The 21,642-nt window shown below is 36.8% G+C and overlaps 1 protein-coding gene across 2 annotated transcripts in view; it reads left to right on the top strand.

Annotated features, from left to right (window-relative positions):
- Nucleotides 1–21,642, top strand: part of SEC24D (SEC24 homolog D, COPII component) — a 113,304-nt gene that overhangs the window by 60,439 nt on the left and 31,223 nt on the right. For both annotated transcript variants that reach the window (NM_014822.4, NM_001318066.2), the window contains exons 9-11: nt 7,377–7,515; nt 10,771–10,886; nt 17,843–17,967. In NM_014822.4, coding sequence (NP_055637.2) covers nt 7,377–7,515; nt 10,771–10,886; nt 17,843–17,967 — 380 coding nt within the window. The remainder of the gene's footprint in view (nt 1–7,376; nt 7,516–10,770; nt 10,887–17,842; nt 17,968–21,642) is intronic.

Below are 21,642 nucleotides of genomic sequence, written 5' to 3'. Positions count from 1 at the left end.
ATGTAGTAACAACAGATTTTAGGTAGGGGTGTGTATGCGTCTGTCTGTCTGTCTGAAACCTGCTGAGTCAGTATACTACTACCTTACCTGGCTTTGAAGGCTCTCCTCAAAATCACTCCAGCCTTTCTCTTTATCTCCCTTCATCCCAGCTGTTCAAGGCTACTTGCCTGCTGGCCACCAACAAACCGTGGGCTTTTCCTCCTGTGTTAAGCTGTTCTCACTGGTTGAAATTCTTTCTCTCTCTCAGTGGACAAATAGCTCCTCATAAGTGCCCATATCTTCCTTGAGCGAAGGCTTTACTGACCCCTCTGAAGATTTCTTCTTTTTTTTTTTTTTTTTTTTGACCTTTTGCTTTAACACCTATCACAAGTTATCCTGAGCGTATATTTGTGGGTACCTGAGCTGTTGTGTTTTTTCATTCAGAAACCATTGACCGACCCCTGTCTCAGGTATTGTGCTACAGGAGATACTACAGTAAACAGGCTGGACCTGTGAGTCATGGATTTGAGAATGTAGTCGTGGTTTTGAAAAGTAAAATAGTGTGATAAGTGCTTTCAGGCACAAGGTTATATGGGAACATATGGCAATTAAATATGTCTCCTGCAAGTGGCCTGGAATTAGACAACAAAATATATTTCTCCCTTGTGGATGAAATGATCTTGAGGGGCCAGATTTAGACATGGTCCAGGATTAGACAAAGCCTCTAAGAAGTCACAAGAGAGGGAATACCCCTTCCATTGTAACAGGAGAAGGAGAGAAAGGAAAGTGTTGGATAGATGCTGGTCAATTAGTGGGGGAAAGTCAAGAGAGTTCTTACCTGAGGTTTTGTTTTCTTTGTGAAGAAGAATGTAAATTTAACTGCCAAGGGAGGTGGAGAAGGAGCTTATGGGGAGGAGCTTAATAAAGATGCAAAGGTATATGGCAGCTCCTATAGAGAATGGAAGAGAGAAATGACCAGAGACAATTAGAATGCTTACCAGGGAGCATGGTTTAAGGGCTTGATTCAAGTCACAGACCAGCGAGAATGGTACCTTTCTCTGAAACTGTATGCTTTTCTACAGATCCAGTCTGCAAGCTGTTTCTTGCACATATAGTATAGAGGAGATAAATAGCTGGAATAAATCAGAATTCAAGCTACAGCTCTGCAGTTTGTTCATAAGTCACTTCCTATCACTGACCTTGCATTCCTCTGAACAATGTGGATGGGAATTCCCCACTCCCTGGGTTGTTAGCCCCTCAATATCAAATTGAGATTTTATAAATGAGAACATTTTAAACTACAAGTGACCATAAGATCATAAAGATAATAGTTATGCTCTTACATTTATTATGAAAAGTCTGAATCAGTAAAATTTTTCAGTATTTTTCAATGAAAAGAAACCCAAAAATAAAAAACTAACTTCCAAATTAAAGAGGTATCCAAATCTAATACAAGCTGTAGATATAATTAAGACAGAACAAATAGACTCTCTGATAGTATTGTTCAAAGAAAAAAAGGAAAACAATCTCCCAAGTGTCACTAACAAACTAAGAAAACTAAAATCTTCTGAAAATGCAAAAAAGCAAAGTTTTAGGTTAAGAAGAGCCAACTAAAAGCATTAAATTTTTTAATAAATATTATTTATAAAAATATAAATATAGTCTTAGAACTAACACAATGTATTAAGTGTCTTATCCTCAAGCTTGCTGTTTCTTTTTAGAAGACACATGATAGGATTTTATTTTTTAATTCAGAAAATATTCTTTCATTTCACATGTATTTAAAAAATTCTAAATAGAATAGTATTGCTCTCTAAAAAGCACTTGTACGGTAAATAGCCTATTGAACTGTACCTTTTTTGTCCATATAGGCCAGGTAAATGTCATATACAGTAAAGCTAAAAGTAGAAAGCACATATAAGCTGCTTCTCATTTCTCTTTCACATGGAAATGTCTTTAATAAATGCAGTTGATACAGACTCTTTTCCTTTTCGCCTCTGGGCATAATCCTTTGGGAATCTGACTGACTGCTCATCTTCCAGCATGCCTAATAGTCTGAATGTTTAACATTTTTAAAGGGTAGTTGTTCATCACAGGTTCTGGATTATCTTTTCACATACCATTTCCATGCTTCTACTTATATCCCCCAATTAATCCAAATTACCAACTGACCTCCTCTTGAGACAGTTCCAAAGAATAAGCAGCACTCCAATTCCAAGAAGTAGCCGCTTGCCAAAGTTACATTGACAATAGGAAATCACTGCTGCTAGAGAGATACATTTACAGTGATTTCCTGGGAAATACAAGTTGATGCTGAATATGATCCTTAATCAGGCTAGAAAACTGTATAACATTTTGGCAGGTCTTATCTTAAATCTTCTCATCTTATTTAGGTCCCATTGTAGGCAAAAATTTCTTTCCCATGACCAGTAACTGCTTAGCCAAGGTATTTCCTTCAGGCACTTTGTAAAGTAGAATATTGGTGCTGTGGGGACAACTGTAGAGTCCTAGGATGCTGATTACATTCCTGAATACTTCTAATGAAGGAAATAAAGAGAGAAAAAAAAGGGGGAGGAAGAAGTATACATTGAAAATGTAAAATAAGTTTTTTTTTAAAATTAGTGAATAAGTGTTAGAAAGAGAGGGGAAAGTAGGTGGTTGAAGAGTTTGTGTGTGTATATTAGAACTTACATGAACTCCGGTGCTGAAAGATAAGGAGAGTGGGTAGTGGACCAATGAGAGAAGAAAGGAGAGATGGGGCCAGTTTCACCCAGCAATGTTCTGAGTGTGGGTGGGTATGACATTACTTATTCAGAGTATTCTGAAATCTGGGCTTTGGCTACTCTGTCTCTGCCCTTTACCAGCACCATGCCTGTGATAGGATGTTCCAACAGGAAGCTAGGCGTTTGCTTTAGAAAATCATTTTTCTTCATCGCAGTGTACTGCCGTGTGCCAGGACACACCAGACATCACTGTTGCTTTGTTATTTTGCACCACGATGGCTAATGTGGAGAGTGGGCTTGGACGCTGGCAGCAGGGCATTCGTGTCATTGTTCTCTTTGCTTCACAGGCTGTCATTAGGTTGCCTGCTCCACTTTGTGGCTCCCTATCCCAACCGTACCTCTGTTTCCCTACATATACTCAAGGAAAGTCGGCAGAGGATTAGGAACTTTAAAAATAAGTTTTTCTTGGCAATTAGTAAATGTGGCACATTCTGTAGTTTCTATACAATGTATGCATAAAATAGTCTTGTATTCCATGTTTATTTGTATTTTGCTTGGCCCGGAATATTTTTAAACCATTATCAAAAGTTTCTTTGAGAAAAGCAAGTTCAGTTAAAAGTTATTAGAGTTACATGTAATGAATGTAGCATGATTATCTTGGTTGTTTTCTTGCCTGCTGGTAAGGTATATACAGCCTTAATTTTTAGTTGCATAGTGCCACCTATTGGATCTATGTGATAAAAACACTTTGGTATTTAGCTGCTTTCTTTAATTCCTCATTGCAATTCATTACTTTCCTAAAACAGAAATACTGTAGCCAGGCTTGGGTATTCAGATTTTTCTTAATAATATAGATGCCAAAACAAAAATACACACAGCCTACAAACTTGATACAGATTTTTCATGATGGGTCTTTCTACACTGTATTTTCTTTGAGCATCTGTGTTTGTTTTGGAAATACAATCTGTGAATAATTTAACATCGCCTTTCTAAATTGAAAAGAGCTTTAAAAAGAGCTCTTGTTTATGATGTTCTGCCAAGTATTGTTTCTCCTCATACCCTGTTTTTTTCATGGCATTTGTGTGTACTTTTTTATTTACTGTCTTTCTACCCCGCTACACTGTAGGTCCCTCAAAGGTACCTGTGGTACAAATGTTAAAGTTACCCAAGAGAATGGCAGCAATACTCGGAAAACTGATAATGTATTCAAATAAGAAGACTTTTAAAATTTTACTAGTGGTATTAAGAAGGCATTGGTGGATACATCTTGATGTCTGCTTCTTTTACATGGAAAAATAATCAAAAGTTGTTTTATTTTGTTTCTTAATTGTTGGATATCATTTTAGTACTAAGTCTCATTTCGTAGAATGATATTCTCACTTGTGGTCCAAAATCAACCAGTGTTTATATACATACACAAGAGATACATTTTATTCAATTAAAGCACTTTTATTAAAATTAGTATCAGCACAGTATTTGGCACACCCGTTAATCCAAAAATACAAGGAAAAGATTCACATTTTTCCTCAGCCTCCCTATCACTTTCATGTTGTGTAAACTCAGGCCACACAGGGCCAGAACCAAACAATAGCCAGGTGAGGTTTTTATAGCCAGTCTTTCTATCCTTTCACTTTTCCACTTAAGAACAGAAAAGAAAGGGCAGACAGGGATATACTAAGAGCTAAATATTAAAGTATATTTGTAAACAAAATTTTTAAAATCTGAAAATATTTCTGAGGTAAATATAATTCCCTTGGTAAGGAAAAAAGATAACTTAGGCAATTTTTTGAAAAGTAACTTGATTTTTTTTTAAAGCCATGCACACCAAGATCGAACTCAAAAGAAAAGTAAGGTTAGCTATTTATGAGCTCATGCACACTGTGGTGCAGATAAGCTGACATCTGGAGAGTGCAAAGGGAAATCTTTGATGCTTTTCAACATGGCCTGAGAGAGATGAAACAAGCCAGTGTAATTTAGAAGCCCTTGCCCTGTTGCCTGAAAATAAAATGTAAACAGTTAAAAAGCTTTTAACATTCTTTACTGTCACCTCAGTTTTCTGAAGACCTTACTTACCTATCCATCATCTGGTTTCTAAAAAAGTGAAAATTGAAAAAACTGTAAGTGTATTTAATAGCCTAGACACAGTCATGACTTGACTCCAGTTTCCTGTTAGACATTGATTTTCAGTCCTGCAAGTTTGAATCTGTCAGGACTGGAATGCATAGGTGTTCATTGCCGACAATTTCACAGTAATTTTAGGCTGGGTCTGGTTTTGAGCAAATCATATCAGTGATAATAAGGTCAAATTTGCTTCCATTACTTTTGGCTTGTCTAGCATATAATTGGATCTTATTTGGTTTCTAAAATCAGGGGATTTGTTACAGCCTTTGGACTTTTTGAAAATAAAAGGATGAGAAAAGTAAACTTGGCTGAGTGAATGGAAACTGCAGAATTTCTCCCAATTTTAACTTCTGAAAGCATCTCCTGATCTCAGAGGTTGGAGTTGTGGAACAGAGCAGTAACTGGAGTCATGATTGGTAATTGTACTTTTAATCCAGAGGAAGCTACCTGAACAGCACATATTTGTTGTCTTCCGCTTCTTACTCTTCTAGCTTTCCATTTATTGTTCTAAGAATCTCTTTTTTTTGTACCTGCATGCTTTTGCTTCTCTCTTGCCTCCTCAAGTAATTTCTTCCTATTACCAGCTGAAGAGAACAAACATTTGTCACTATATGCCTTTCTAACAAAAAGTTTGTCTGAAAGAGTGGTGTATACATCAGATATATGAATTTGTATGTGTGAGTATGTATTTAAATAAAGTTCCTGGAGTGTTTTAAAAATCCATTCTGCTTCTCAACTTTTAACCATTAGAGTGTATCAGAATCCCCTGAAAGTTTATTCTCTGTCTTCTAGATCATTTTTACAATAATGTTTTTACAATAACTGACCAGGTAGCCTTCAGGACCTGAAGCCCATCTCATACTTGCCCTCCTGTCAAAGATGACTTTGTCCTGAGCTGAGTGGTTTTGAGAGAGGAAAGGCTGTTCTGGATAAAAATTTTCCAACTACTTTTTGCCAGGCACAATGCTGTACACTGCACATGTATTACTCACCTAATCCTTGTCACAACCCCTACCAGTGGGGCACCAGAGCCAGGCCCATGCTGTGGATCAGAAGCGACCATAAACAAGAAAATCCAATCTGTCTTCTGGCTTTCTTGAGGCAAGATGCGGGGAAGAGGGCATTGCAGAAATAGAGGGGAATGATTAAAGAAAAAATTTAAATCCTTCCCCGATTCTTTTGAGTATTGTGTTAATAAACCTGTTTTTTTCTGCTCTGAGACCTCCCAAATGATTTCTGAAACCTCAGCTTTCACTTTGAACATCTGGGCAGGGACAATGGGGGATCTCGGTTTTCTAAGACTGAAGCAGAAAACGGCCTGATGCCCCTACCCCACTGACCTCCTGCTCTTCAGGCCTCCGTTCAAAAGCAGTCTGCTTTATTTGTATCTTTTTCAGTAAAGAAAAATTTAATTGACATGCCAAAGCCTGCAATTCTCAAGCTTTTCTTTAAATGTTATCTTTAAGGAGATTTACAAAAACAAGTATCTCTGTGGTTTTCTCCCGAAAGCCAGAAGAGTTGGGAAGGCAGACTTAATGCTGAACTTTTTTACTTTTAAACTGTAAAAGATGTATCATGCTTTCTATGTATGTTTATGAGGAAGAAGCAATTGAATGATTTATTTTTTCAGTTCTGGCAAAGCATGGCCAGCTACACTGTGAGTATTCTGTGAAACGTTTTTTTCTGATAAACTAACAGAAAAGGTAGAATCGACCGCCTTGCCTAAATAAATGAACATTATTGCATATTTCTTCAAATAGCTGCATTTTTGAAGAAATAGTTTATGTGCTTTGGGGGAACTACATAGACAGCATACTGCTATGCAAACTAGAACTTTTTAAATCAGGCCCAACTCTCTTTATTTATAATCTATGAAGAAACTTAGCAAAATAGGTGACACAAGTTGTCTAGAATGTTTTTAACGTAAGTATAAGTAGGTATTATTACCATCACTATATGTTCTCTCTCCACACACATATTGGCAAATATGCATATGCAGATAGACATAAATATACATATATTGATATATCCTTATAAGTGAGATAAATTAACTTTTGTTTGGGTATTCTGGACAACATCTTATGGCTTTGAATTCATGTGTTATCAATAAAGACATCTTTACTGTCCTGGGGCAAAAGCTAAGAGTTGAGTTCCTTAAAAATTGCCACTAGGCCAGGCACAGTGGCTTACGCCTGTAATCCCAGCACTTTGGGAGGCCAGGGTGGGTGGATCACCTGCAGTCAGGAGTTCGAGACCAGCCTGGCCAACATGGCGAAACCTCGTCTCTACTAAAAATACAAAAATTAGCCAGGCTTGGTGGCAGGCACCTATAATCACAGCCACTCGGGAGGCTGAGGCAGGAGAATCGCTTGAACCCTGTAGGTGGAGGTTGCAGTGGGCAAACATCATGCCATTGCACTCTAGCCTGAGTGACAGAGCAAGACTCTGTCTCAAAAAAAAAAAAAAAAAAGTGCCATTAAAAGACTTCCCAAATTATAGTACCTAGAAATCCTATACTCACCTGTTCATTTAATTTTTCTTGCTTCTCCATAGAGTCCCCTTTACTTGGTAAATCACGGCGAGAGTGGACCAGTCAGATGCAACAGGTGCAAGGCCTACATGTGCCCATTTATGCAGTTCATCGAAGGAGGAAGGAGATATCAGTGTGGATTTTGCAACTGTGTGAATGATGGTAAGCAGTGCCATTAAAAGCTCTTTGTGAAATTCTTTATTAACTAAAATGTATTATACTTCTTAGTTTAGGAGAAGCATACATTCTTTTTTCTGCTATATAGCAGTACCTTCTTTATAATTTTCTAGAAGGAAACCAACTATGACAGGCTCTATTTGGGAAATTTAAGCCCCTTTTAACCTTAGGTAACTACATGAGCCCCACATGGAAGTTGAAATGTTTCTTAAAAAACTCAAATGTAGGGGGAAAAATTTTATTTCTTAATCCCCTTCCACAAAGCCTCAGTGGGAAACAAAATAAGATTTTTACCTCTTATGATTACAGATGATAAACTTGGGAGACTTTTCCTCTTTTGTCACTTCTCAAGGTTATTCTTGAAAATCAGCTCATTGATACTTAGGAAAAGCTTAGGTATAACCAAGGGCTTTAACACTTATATAGATTTTTTTTTTCACTCCGATGTAAATGTTGGATTGTTTAAGGAGGAAGGAACATTATTAAAAAGGGCTTTCCCGTATTCATTATATTTTGTTTTATTCCAGTACGAATTTACTGATTTTGAAGAAAACTGCTAAGTTGCTGAAAGTGTTTTCACATTTATTACATTTATAACATGTCTATATATTTTTAATTATTTGTTGTTAAATGAGGTACATACTGAGGCTGAGAACATTCCCATATTCATTGACATTTTTTGAACCATGTGATGATTACTAGAGTATGAGTTTTCTTCTCTGTTTCTTATCTTTGTAGACAGGCTTCCCTGCAGGTAATTAGATCTGAAGAACATATAGCACTGTCTGCCTGTGAACACATGGTTCTACCCACGGGTGCTGACTACTCCCTAATGCTGACTGAGCTGGGGACAGTATTCCTCCTACATCATTACATTCATGGCATCTTGGCTCTGTGAGCATTCTCTGGTGGGAGAGCGTTGCTTGCCTTCTTATTTCCCTGCCACCTTATCTCGCACACACACAGTCCATGGCTTTACCCAACTTAGGGCGCCAGAGACTGGCCTTGCGAGTGCTTCTCATGCAGACCTTTGGTCAGTTCTTAAACGCACCTTGCTGTGGAGTTGAATCATTGGCTTCTAGACTCATCCCAGCCTATGGCCTAAGCCTCTTGGTACGTCTCTCTCCTTACATTAACTATGGTTTCCACTCAGGGCAAATTGGATATCCCATTGAGACCAGATTGTTAGTTCTCTACCCTCACTTCTCTTTCTAAGGAAGATCTTGTTTCCTCTCTCAACCTGAATGAAATCTGCAACCAAATTCATGGCTATCATTCAGTCTTGGGACCTGGATTTCAGGAACCCTGTGACAATTCATTTCTCTGTGCTTTAGTTTTAGAGGAAAAAATCCTGAGAAGGGACAGAGGCTTCTCCCAAAGCATTTGGACAAAGTCCTCCAGCGAGCCCACCAGCTCCTCAGATGTCTTCACCCAAGCCCCCAGCTTTCTTAGAAAGGTGACCAAAATCATACCCACCATGAAGAGCAGCAAGGATCTTCAGTTTGCTGTGACTCTTTGGCCTCCTACCCAAAGTGTCGGCTCAGGGCCTTAAAAGGCCCAGCCACTTCCAGGAAGAGAAAAACGACTCAGAATTCTTGTGTCTCAACACAGCAGATTATGTTCCCTCAGGTATCCATTCCTAGGAAGCTGCCATGTTTATTTTCCAATAGAATTATTCACACTAGGCTTAAATATGTGTCCCTACAAGGAAGCCAGACTCCCATAGATGTATGCTGACACCTGTCTTCTTTTAGGTTTAACAAAGACAGAGGTTTGTTGGAGTTAGAAAGAACCCAGCAGGCTTGCTTTAGTGATTCCACTCTTATTTCCTTGCAAAGTGTCCAGAGATTGTCCAGTGGGGAGTATGTGTGGTCAGAGACATGCAGGAAGACAGGGGCCAAAGGGTAGTACATGATTTATGGTATGAGTTGAATGTTGGCTTACAAAAGATGATAGACAATATTAAATGCTAATGAATATAAAATAAAATTTAAAGGGAAAACATTTCACATATTACATTTCTGTGTGTAGATGTGAATGAATTGTATGTTATACTATGTGGAAACTACTGTACTATGCATTCTAAGATAGCCGAGGCAGCATCCTCCATCTCATCTAAATGTAACAAAATAGCAATTTAAGACCCTCAAAGTTTACTTACCTCAGCTGAGCCTGTCAGTTGCTACTTATGTAATCTTTTCAAGAAGTTGAATCTTCCAAATTCAGAGATCCATATGTGCATAAGAACCTTATAAAATTTACTTTAAAAGAAATGGCCATGATACAGTAACAACGTAGAACAATCAAGCCTCAGTGGGTTTTTTTTTTAAAAAAAGAACAACCTCAGAAAACAGTCTTGTTATTCTTATGTCAGTTTCACAGCTAACAATAAATAATGCCAAATTGTTGGCTTAAAAACAAGAAGCATTATTTGTATGGTTTTTACAAATGGCAATGTTGTTCTTTACAAAAAGTTTAAAACCAGAGCATTGGTAGTTTTTCTAAATACTTTTATTGGCAGTGGTTTAGTAGCCAGCCCTATTAATCTCAAGGCAACAGGAGTTCGTTTTTACAGAGATACCAGGCCATATTTGTCCAAGTGCTCAGTATGTGACTCATAAGTGTTCCTGTGCTATTGGATGACTTCCAGATCTTTGCCAGAACTAACCTTCTTAGACATTTGAATCAAATTAAAGTTCCTTAGCTGAGATCTTAGTGGTGTAGTCTTTCCCTAATACAGTAATCCTCTCCACTCTTAAGCGCAAACATTAAAAGATTACCATGCAAACTCCACATGGGTGAAGACATCTCTTAATTAAAGCATAATAAATATTGTAGTTCATAGTATAGTTCAAATAACGAATGTTTATTTCTGTTAGGTATATTAAAAATTCAAATAGTTAGAAAAGTCAGAATTCTTTTTAAAAGAGGTAATAAAATGGGGACAATTGAATTTGGGTTGTGACAACTTAAAAACACCAATACTTTTATACCCTGTTTCTCTAGGATGGTCTAAATCATAAATGTTCTTTGTCATCAATAACTTATAGAATAAGAACCCTCCTCTTTTCCAAGACATGTTTTTAAAATAGTAGGTATTTACGGTATACTACATTCCAGCTTTAAAATACATTTTTCCAGATACTAACTCCTTTCCTCTCATAATAAATTTTGAGAACTTACTAAATTGTCTGTGTTTATGAAAACAAAATATTTTCTTTCCTATTTTGTTTTTATTAGTTCCACCATTCTATTTCCAACATCTGGACCACATTGGAAGAAGACTGGACCACTATGAGAAACCAGAGTTATCTCTAGGATCTTATGAATATGTTGCCACTTTGGATTATTGCAGAGTAAGTGTTCCCAGAACTTCAAGTGTTTATACATTGATGTTAAATTCAAGTGAATAACTTTCATATGTAAAGAACTGACTCTTGATTCACAAACAAAGCATTTTGGTGGTACCATGGAGTGGTAGAAATGCCTAAGACACAGATCCCATCTCCTAGGTTGTTAACATGATTCAACTGCCAAACCATCTACTGGAGGAATTATTTTTAAAAACTGAAATGTGGTGTCAGAAATAGAAAACAATAATTTTTTATGTCCTTGCCAGACAGAATATACCTGGTTCTTAATGCAGTAGTTCCGTACAGTGCCTCTGCCTCCCTTATTTTGTAAAGAGTCTCAGAAAAACTTCCCTTCCAAGAGAAAAGCTCAACCAAAATGGTTAGTAGGACTATTGACGTGTTTCTGTACCTCCCTTCCCTCCTGTTGCTACCACGATGGTTTGGACTCTCAGAATCCCCCTTACACTGTCTATCTCAGCAGGCTGAGATCCTGGCCTTTGATTTTCCTGCTCTATAATGTCACCATGAGACACGCCCCCACACTCACTGCCTCTCATAAACCTCTATTGGTTATTTCTTTTCTAAAAAATTAAATTAAAAAAAATTTAGCTTTCTTTGTAAGGCCATTAAGCATTGCCCCCCAAACTATCACCTCAGCTGTCTCTTCAGTTATACAAAACTTTTCACCACATACTCTGAACTCAGCCCCTTTGACAACTCCATGCCTTTATACCAGATGTTCATCTGACCAGAGTATCTTTCCATTCTCCTGTCACATCTTACATACCCCAACTGGCAAACCCCTCCCTATTCTGTAATGCCTGGCTGAAATTTTAATTGTGTATATGCATTTGCAACTTTCTCTGTCTTTATCATGGTAATTATTTACTATAGCTTCTGTTTTTTCACGGAATTTGGTCTATATCTCTATTTTAGCATTTATCCCCATGGAATTTAAACCTTCTTATATGTCTGCCGTCTTCTTAGATTCTGATATCCTCGTCATCTTTATGACATTTACCACACTATCTGCCATGGGATAGGTAGTTGATCAGTGTATGTGGAATGAATAAAACAATGAATTTGCGGGTATTACTATTCCCAGGACTAGCCATTTCCCTTGTCCAGTGTCACAATGACATCATTATGGATACCTTGCAAGGCTTTAAAATTCTTCACTGATTTGAAAATCACATCTTCTTGCGTATCATTCAGATTTCAGCGCATATCTGAAGCACCATGTGTAGACTTGAAGAAACAGGGCCATTCTAACTTATTTTCTTATTTTCTCTTCTAAAAATGAGTGCCTACTAATGCCCAATTCCCAGAAAACAGCTTCTGACCCACAGATTTCTTTCATAGATGTTTGCAAGGCGAGCAGTCATGTATTGAGTGTAGATGATAATGAACATTTTTCCTAACTAGAATTTTTTTCAGTTGACTGGCTCTTAAAATTTTTTCCATTAACATAACTTATTGCATTTATTTTACTACTTTATATGATTATTTTGCAATATACTACGTAGAACTAGTTGTTAAAGAAAATGTGATGCTTTATTAGTTTAAGATGTTGCAACATCTGAACATACTTAGGGAAATTTAGGAATATTTTTGGTACAAATGCTTTATTTTAGGCAAGAAGCATGTCCTAAAATACAGTGACTTTTGGACAGTTTAGTTGTTCCTAACTGCTGTTAACTGAAGGAGAATCATTGGGCAACATGCAAACATTTAATGTTTTAATTCAATGTAAGAAAGCCATTGTAACTAATGATGGAAAATTTATTTGCCGATCTTTGCAACCATAGTATAAATCTAACCCTGCTCTCAGTTTCTAGTTCTCTGCCAAAAAAGTGACATGATCTTGATTATATGCTTTTTTAGTAGTAACTTAGGCAGAGAGTCAAATCTGTTTCTGGGAACAAAAGTCTTAGTATCTTCAAACTCTGTTATCTGGAAATATTCCAGAAGTCTAATTGATGGGAAATCTCACCCAGCCAGGCAAGGAACCAAATAAAAATTGTACATTTTGAAGAACTTTTTGTAAGCATAATCTTCCTTTTATTATTCCAAGTAGAGTTCATAATAAATATGCTGTAAACATCTTCAAATTTGATTATAATTTAAAATGTAAATAAAGTATAATAATGAGTTGGCTTAGCTATTCAGACAATGAAAAAGCTTATTTAATTTGTACATGTATTTTTTACACCATGCACTTGGAAAGAGGAATTACAAAATCACATTTTCCTATTCATCTTGGCTCATCTTAATGTTGATTTTAGATGGTAAAATTAACATTATTGAACATTTACCATGTGCCAAGCTGTAGGCTAAATTCTTTCTATGTATTGTATCATTTAGTCCTCACGGTGAACCCATGTGGTGCGTACCATCATTACTTGAGGAAACTTAGGCTTAGAGACCGCGTAAGTGCCAGCTTCAGGCCATACATCCAGAAAGTAACAGAGCCAGACTGAAAACCGTATCTGTGTGATCACAGAAGCCCTATTCTCTAATCAGTACACTGTGTATACATGAGCAAGTATTAACACAATCATCCTGGAGTTCCCTCAGAAAAAAAAAGGCCTCAGCTTTGCCATATAACTGAGAGTTTATCATTAATAAGTTTATGGAATATATCTGCATGTAAAGTGTACTTGAAATGTGAAGTCTCCATCCAAGTCAGCTTTTTTTTTTTTCTGAACAAAAATGTAGTTTCTTCACTTAATTTTAATTCACTTTGACATTACCAGATGCCTAACATGTCTAAGGTACTTGTCTGTGTGCTGTAAGGCATAACAAAATTAGCAAGATAATAAACCTGCTCTCAAGGTACTTACAATGTATAGACCTGATAAGAAATGTCTATAGTTTTCATATAAACTCAAATATGATAAATGCAGTAAGAATAGAACAATCATAGTGCCGTAAGAAAACAGGATTGGGAAGGCTTCATAGAGGAAGTGACATTTGAGCTGATTAGATTATGAGCCTGGACATGACAACTAGGACAGTGAGCAGAAATAGTTTCACAAACTTATTGACAATTTACTCAGATTTCTTTAGGGGCTAGGCAGACATTGTAGATGAAGTGACATGGACCAGGATAATTAGAGAGTATATTCCCCCTTCCCTCAAAACATATTCAAATTCAAATATTTTTTCAAACACTATGCCAAACAAAACACTTTTCCAGCCAAATTCTTGGCTTAGGCCCACTAGTCTGTGACTTTTGGACAGGAGATATTTTGGAAATGTAAACTACTTAAATTGTTGGGAGAATGTGTATTGGGAATAATGGGAAGTAAAGCTGGGACATTGTTTTGAGACGCAGTCTATCTTTTTATTTTCCCCTGGGTCCAGCATTGTATCTTTGATTTCTTAGGTTTTTATACATGTTTGTTAAATGAGTATCATGGTAAGTCTTGAATGTCAGGCCATTGAAGAACTTACCTTAATTCAGTAGGCCATGAGGACAATTAAAGGTGAAGGTGGAGTTGTTCCATTCATTCATCCATGCATTCATTCACTCAGTCAACAGTTAATGAGCACTGTTTGTGGTGCCATGCTCTGTGCTAGGCTCTGAGGACTCAGTAAATTTCCTGTTCTCAGAGAAGGAAGCATTGTGATCTGTATTGAGCATCAGACAGTTTATTCTGACAGCAGTCTGTATAATGAGAGGAGAGATTAGAGGCAAGGGAACATTAGAAATTAATGTAGTTGTCCAACTATGAGAAAATGAGGGTAGTACGATAATTCCCCCGAAAATTAAAAATAGAATTACCGGCCAGGTGCGGTGGCTCATGCCTGTAATCCCAGCACTTCAGGAGGCCAAGGCGGGCAGATCACGAGGTCAGGAGTTTGAGACCAACCTGGCCAACATAGTGAAACCCCGTCTCTACTAAAAATAAAAATAAAAAAAAAAAATTAGCTGGCATTGGTGGTGGGCACCTGTAATCCCAGCTACTTGGGATGCTGAGGCAGGAGAATCGCTTGAACCCGGGAGTTGGAGGTTGCACTGAGCCGAGATCGCACCACTGCACTCCAGCCCAGGTGACAGTGTGAGACTTCTTTAAACAAACAAAAAAAAAATTGAATTACCATATGACCTAGCAGTTTCACTTCTGGGTATATACCCAAAATAATTGAAAGCAGAGTCTCAAAAAGATATTTGCATATCCTTGTTCATAGCAGCAGTATTCACAATAGCCAAAAGGAGGAAGCAACCAGGTGTCTATGGAAGAAGAATGGATAAGCAAAATGTGGTATATACGTACAATGGAATATCATTCAGCCTCAAAAAGGAAGAAAAGTCTGACCCATGCTACAACATGGATGAATGTTGAGGATGTTATGCTAAGTAAAATAAGCCAGCCACAAAAAGGATAAATATGGAATGATTCTATATGAGGTATGTAGAATAGTCAAATTCATAGAGACAGAACATGGGATGGTGATTGCCAGGTGCTGGAGAGAGGAAACAGAGGTTGTTTAATGGGTACAGTTTCAGTTTTGCAAGCTGAAAAGCATTCTGTGATGGATGGTGGTAATGGTTGCACAGCATTGTGAGTGCACTTAATGCCACTGAACTGTACGCTTGAAATGGTTAAGATGGCAATTTTTATGTTTTCTTCGCCACAATTAAAAATAATAGAAAAAGAGAGAAATTGAGGATCTAAATTTGGCTACTGGAACTAAAAGAGCCACGTGGGCCTTCACAATTAACTGGTTGTGGATGCTAAGTGAGGTGGACAAGTCCATGGAGACAGTGAGATTTCAAGCCCAGGTTATTTTAGCTTATCGTGTTTTTTTATAAGTTTCTTGTAGGAAAGACCAGTATAGTTGGAGAGATGTTGTCATAATCTCTAAAATTTTGAGTCTAAGGTGCTGGCAGAACTTTTATGTGGATGTGTGCTGTAGTTAATTGGAATGCTGGTCTTGAGCTCAAAAGGAATCATGATGAGAAAGAATTTGAAGAGTTGCCTATATAGAGGTGCTGGTTAAAACTGAGCAAATGAACGAGATTTCTGTGATGGACGTGGGTGGGAGGAGAGAAGTTGGATAAAGATGAGAAAATGAAAAACAGAAGCAACAGTTAGAGAACTGGGAGAGGAAATGATGCTTCAGTGTCCTGGCAGCTAAGAGAGCCAAAGTGGTCTGGTGTGCCTGAAGTTGCAAAGAGATAGAAGAGATCTAGGATAAGAGCTGGATTTTTATTTCAAGTCACTGTACTTTGCAATCTGGATGGTTCAGTGACCTTTAAGAGAGCAGTTGTAGTAAGGTGGCATGGAAAACCAGCATTTTATAGAGTACATACATGTTAAGCTTGGCTGGACAAAGCCAGCTGGATTGAATGGGTAGAGAAATAGATTAAGAAAGCTAATGATGAAGCCATGACAGTTATCTAGGCACAAGATGACAAGCTTTCAGATGGTTAAGAGTAGGGATGGGCCGAAACATTGTTAAAGAATCATTCTGAAAGTGAAAACAATGGGACTCAGTTATTGAAGGAAAAGGAACAGCCAAATCTAATTTCACACTTTGAAGCCTTGAGTTGGCATGTAGTGACGTTATTCCCATATAGAGAAATGGGAAGAGAATGTGATTTAGAGGAACGATGAATTAATTTTGAATATTTCAAAAACCAGTTATAGTGAAGCATTTCTGTAGAAATGTGCAAATTGGAGATGTGGAAAATATTCCATGAGGAATTGGTAATGCTGATAGAAGAGATTAAAAGAATGGTACAGCACACTTGGGTTTGTCACAAAGAGGTTTTGATTTAACTAATGGAAAGGTTGTTATTTTCATCCATTATAAATCAGCACAAGTCTATGCTGTGAATTAAAGTAGGTGTGAATCAGGAATGATTTGCAATAAAAATTATTCACATAGCAGAATTCCTTCATTTCTTTGTTGGTCTGATTTTGGCAAAGGCTTGAAGTTTTCAGGATGATGATTTTTAAGTCCTATAATTTGTTTTTATTTAAAATGAAGGATTTTATTTTAAAAAGTTATCTCTAGCCTTGTAGTGGATATAGAATGAATCAGAAAGATAATTTACAGACATTGTCATCTAATTTTAAAATAATTAAAATACAATTTTAGAAAATTTTTGTGATTTATTATGAAGTTAAAAATTAAGTTGGTCTAAATTCTTTATTCCGTATGTAGGTCACTAAAGTTGTTTGCCTGTGGCTCTCTTTTCTAAATATTTTGTAAGATGCAACTGAAGGATCACTTCCTAAAAGCTGTTTGAACACCAGCCAGTAAAGGGACCAACAACTAAAAAACATGTTCGTAGCAGCTGCTTTATGTCACAGTGATTATTTTAAACAGATAAAGAAAACGCCTGACGTTCTATGTTACCGCAAATATGTAAAAAACTAGGTCAGTACTTAAAAATATAGTACAGTTTTCAAAAGTATACAGTTATATTTTCATACACAATTTCATATCTTTAAAATGGAAAGAGTTGATAGAAGAAGAGAGTCTAAAATAGTGACATCCAAGTTAATGAAGTTTTATTACAGTTTCAAAAACAAACACTATTATATGTATTCTTTTTTAGCATAATTTTTTAGTGTGCCAAACATATTTCGACCTGTAAGGCAGAGTGTTACAAGCAAGTCTGGCCATGATTCTGTACTTTCCCTTCAGCAACTGTAATAATAAAGCTTTGCAAAAGTGAACCTTCTGTGCTAGATGTCGTAATAGTGTCTAATTCAATACTAACCCAGGTCATAGCCTGGAAAATAAACAACTTCTTTTATCTTTTTAATAGCATCTGAAACCAGATGCTCTAGATATTCTGGAAAAATGATTTAATTCCACAGATGGTATATCCTAAATATTAAATGAAACATCTGATGACTTTCAAGAGTTTCTAATGAGTATTGACATTTGATTATGCAATGTATTTACTTTATTTATGTGATGTGTTTGCTTTCCTATAGAAGAGTAAGCCTCCCAACCCACCAGCCTTTATCTTCATGATTGATGTTTCATATAGTAACATAAAGAATGGACTTGTCAAGCTCATATGTGAAGAACTGAAGACCATGCTGGAAAAAATTCCAAAGTAAGGCAACCGTCATTCTTTTTACAACTTATACATTATTGCCTAATTAATTTATTGGCCAGAAGATAAGTGCTGAATGACCAATTGATTTTTTTTGCTAATGAGGACACTGGGTAATTAGTCATAAATCAAACAGCATCATTGTTTTGAGTCCTTAGAAAGTTAGAGTGATCTTTTGTACAAAGCAAAAGAAACAAACTGATAAAAAGAAATGCTATGGTAAAGAACTTTCAAAGTACATTATAAATTATAAGAAGAATCCCAACAGTGTGGTAGGAAAGACTTTGGATGTGTTATTCACTTTTCAAAGCATTGATTTTCCAATGGACACTAGTAGTTGCTGAGCATGGCAGAGTTCGAAGGGATGACAGGAAACTGAACTGTTGTCTTATGGCAGAGATGGTAGATTTTTAAGCAATTTCCTTTTGCCCTTATGATAAGCTGTCCAACCCATTTGCAGCTTTACTGCCTCTGTGTCCTGTAACTTAACAGCCTGAGGTGCACCACATTCCTTGCCATTGCAAGAGGGCAGCAAGGAAAGGCGAAAAACTAATTCTAATAACTAACAGATGAACATACCTTAGACCTTACTCAAGACTTCAGACTGTGCTTTAAAAAGGCTGTTGGGCATATTACCTGCTTTAATACAAAGAAGTAAATCAAACTGATGGCAGTCTTACCATAAGAAATATAAAGTTACACACATACACAGCCCAAAACAAATTTCAGGAGAGAAAAAACAACCAGATTTGTTTTGAAAAATAAAGAGGAAAAAATGTATCTTGGCTTGAATAAAAGCTTTTAAGAGCGGTATTTGGAAACTAGCATGGAATAACTAACACTATCCTTTTATTTTTCTCTCTTATTGCCTCTCCTAAAACTAATATCAAACGTGGCTATTTTAAAATTATCTTATTATAAAAACTAGTTGTTTAGGATGAGGAATAACATCTAGTAAGGAGATTCATGAGCAGGGAGAATGCCATCCCTCATGCGAGGAAATATGAACAGGCTGGGAAATGTTGTCTGTAACCTAGTCCCTACGTGTCCCACCCCCAACCTGTCTCCCTGAACATCAACAATCTTTGTTCTGGAAAAGGATGTTTTTCTGGAGGGTGGGTTGTTGGCTTCAGCCCTTAGAGCTCCATGAATCTTTGGGTGCCCATTCCTCTGTATTCTTTGCACATATGACTGGTGCTTTGGGAGATGTGAGGCTCAGACAAATGAACTCTGGACCTCCCAGGAGTGGTTTTGTTTGTATCTGTGAAGCTGAAGTCATAATATTTTCGAAGATGGTTTGGAAAAGCAGTGGGGATGTTTAAAAAACACCGAGGCAATTTCAAACTAAATTCTAAAATGAAGAATGAGCTGGGAGCAAGTTGAAGATGGTGGCATAAGAAAGGCGTCTGATGCCTGCAGATGTGTTTGTGACTGTAGTTTCCCTTACCCTATTCTTAAGGAAACTTGAGAAGTATGGATTTTCTGCTGAATATGATGTATTTTATTACAGAACTCTCTCATGGGGTTGGTTTAATCTGAATTTGAACTTGATTAGCATGAAAGAAAACTACTCTAATTGCTGGAAATGGTCTTTCTCTCTTTTCCTTCTCTCAAACTGGTTCAACTTAGGCTAATCTATTATCCTAGACAGTTACTTCACCAGTCCCTTGTTCCTTATCAATGCTGGTGATATGAAGCTAATAGCCTGTTGATATAAGTTATGAAATCATACTCTTTCCTTTGGTGTCATTATAACTTTATGTACCATTGGAGCACAGATGTGTGACTTTGGCAAAAGATAGGAGGAAAAAATAAAAGGATACTGTTGGTTATTCTCTGCCACTATTCCGATCTCTCTTTTAAAAGATTTTATTCAAGCCAATTACCTTTTTCTACTTTATCTTTTAAAACAAATCTGGTTGTTTCTTCTCCCCTGAAATTTATTTTGGGCTGTGCATATGTGTAACTTTATTTTTTTTAAGGTAAGATTGTCATCAATTTGATCTACTTGCCAAACAGCTTTTTAAAAAGCACAGTCTGAAGTCTTGATTAACATCTGAGAGTGTGTTAATCTCTTAGCTGATCTTTTGAAAAAGGAAGGCCTCATTCTTTACTATTTAACTTTGAATTTATACCTTTGGCCTCTCAAGGTCGCCAGACTTTTCTGACTTCTCTGGAACAGGAAAGAAAAGATTTGAATGTTTCATCTGTTATTCAGATCAAGCTCTTTAGTTATTTTGCCTTTTTTTTTTTTTTGTCTGTTTGTTTTTAATGCTGCTGTAACTAAAACGTTCCAAATGCTTGATCTTAAAATTTTCTGGTTCATCTAGTTACCAATGTCTTCAGTATTGCTCTGTCAGGTTCATTCCATTAAAATGATGATGGGTCAAGCATTGAGAGAAGTAATCATTGAAAAAAAGAACATCAATGTATTAGTCTTTATGAAATCTCTTATATAACTTCACAAAACATGTCTAGAATTAATAGGAAGGAGAGGCTGAAAATTAGTTTTCTTCTGGATATGATTTAATAAGGCAGTTACACCGTTGAAGAAAATTTTAGGACAGTTCTGTTTCTCAAACAAATAAAAAAAAGTTCCCATGGAGACCAGTACTAATATTTTGCAATAATGTAGGATGTTCTGATTAGATGCTTTTAAAAAATGTTAATTTAGATCTTAAGTGAACCCTGTGAATCCCAGGATACTCCTTTCCCGTCACTTGAAAATGTCCAAATCCAATGGGAAATAGTAATCTAGTTTTTCCTCTGTAGATTTTCTTTTATGTATTTTGCCTTAGTTGATTCTAAATTAACTATTAAAAGAGAATAAAAGCCCTTTGTGATTTGCTGGGATATTTTTCACCTAATGTCATAAAAAGTTTTACTGGGAAATGGGAGCTTAACTAGTGGTGTGCTGGTAAGCTCTCAAAAAAATAAAGCCTTAATTTGTAGTGTTAGCTCAATCCATGGTGTCAGTGCTTCTAGCCAGGCTGGTTCTAAACTATCAGGGTGACATGACTAAACTGGAGTTGGGAAGAAATGTATACTATTGGGTTATCAGTTGGGGCTCTAACTTGACATCCCAAATCCAGTTTTTCACCATCATGATAGTCATCCTCAGTTAAATATCGAATTCCCCACATTGTACCCGACCCTCAGGGGACAGATAACATAAGCTTTGGGTCCTGTCCTTTATTAGCATGCAGTCAAGGACTTGTGACTAAAAGGTACCTTATGCTAAGAGCCCAATGAGAATGATTTATAAGTGTTTAGAAGAGGAAATGACTTCTAATTGGTAGCATCGGGGAGATTTCACAGAGGAGGAAGAATTTGCACTTGGTTTTGAAGAGTAAGATTCAAATGAATCGGGTGGGGGTTGGGGTGAGTATGGATGCAGTATAGCATAGTGGTTAGTTGCATAAAGTTGCACCATTTAGGATAATTGAGGTGTGTGTGAGTGTCTGTTGTATGTGTAGTTAGAAAGAATAGGGATTCTCATTTCTGAAAGCTTTGCAAGTGTCCAGAATATAAACAGTTTCCAAGTGCTTTTGGAAGGGATTATGAGAATCTATTTAAACTGCCCAGTGAAGAACAAATAGCCTCAGTTAGTGAAGGAAGTAGAGAAGAAAACACAGTTCAGAGTCAGTACCTTATCAGCCTGTACTCTGTTGACAT

Source organism: Homo sapiens, chromosome 4 (assembly GCF_000001405.40).
Source record: "Homo sapiens chromosome 4, GRCh38.p14 Primary Assembly".
NCBI classification, from domain to species: Eukaryota; Metazoa; Chordata; class Mammalia; order Primates; family Hominidae; genus Homo; species Homo sapiens.
Note: the sequence above shows the minus strand (reverse complement) of the source record. Positions and strands in the feature narration are given on the sequence as shown.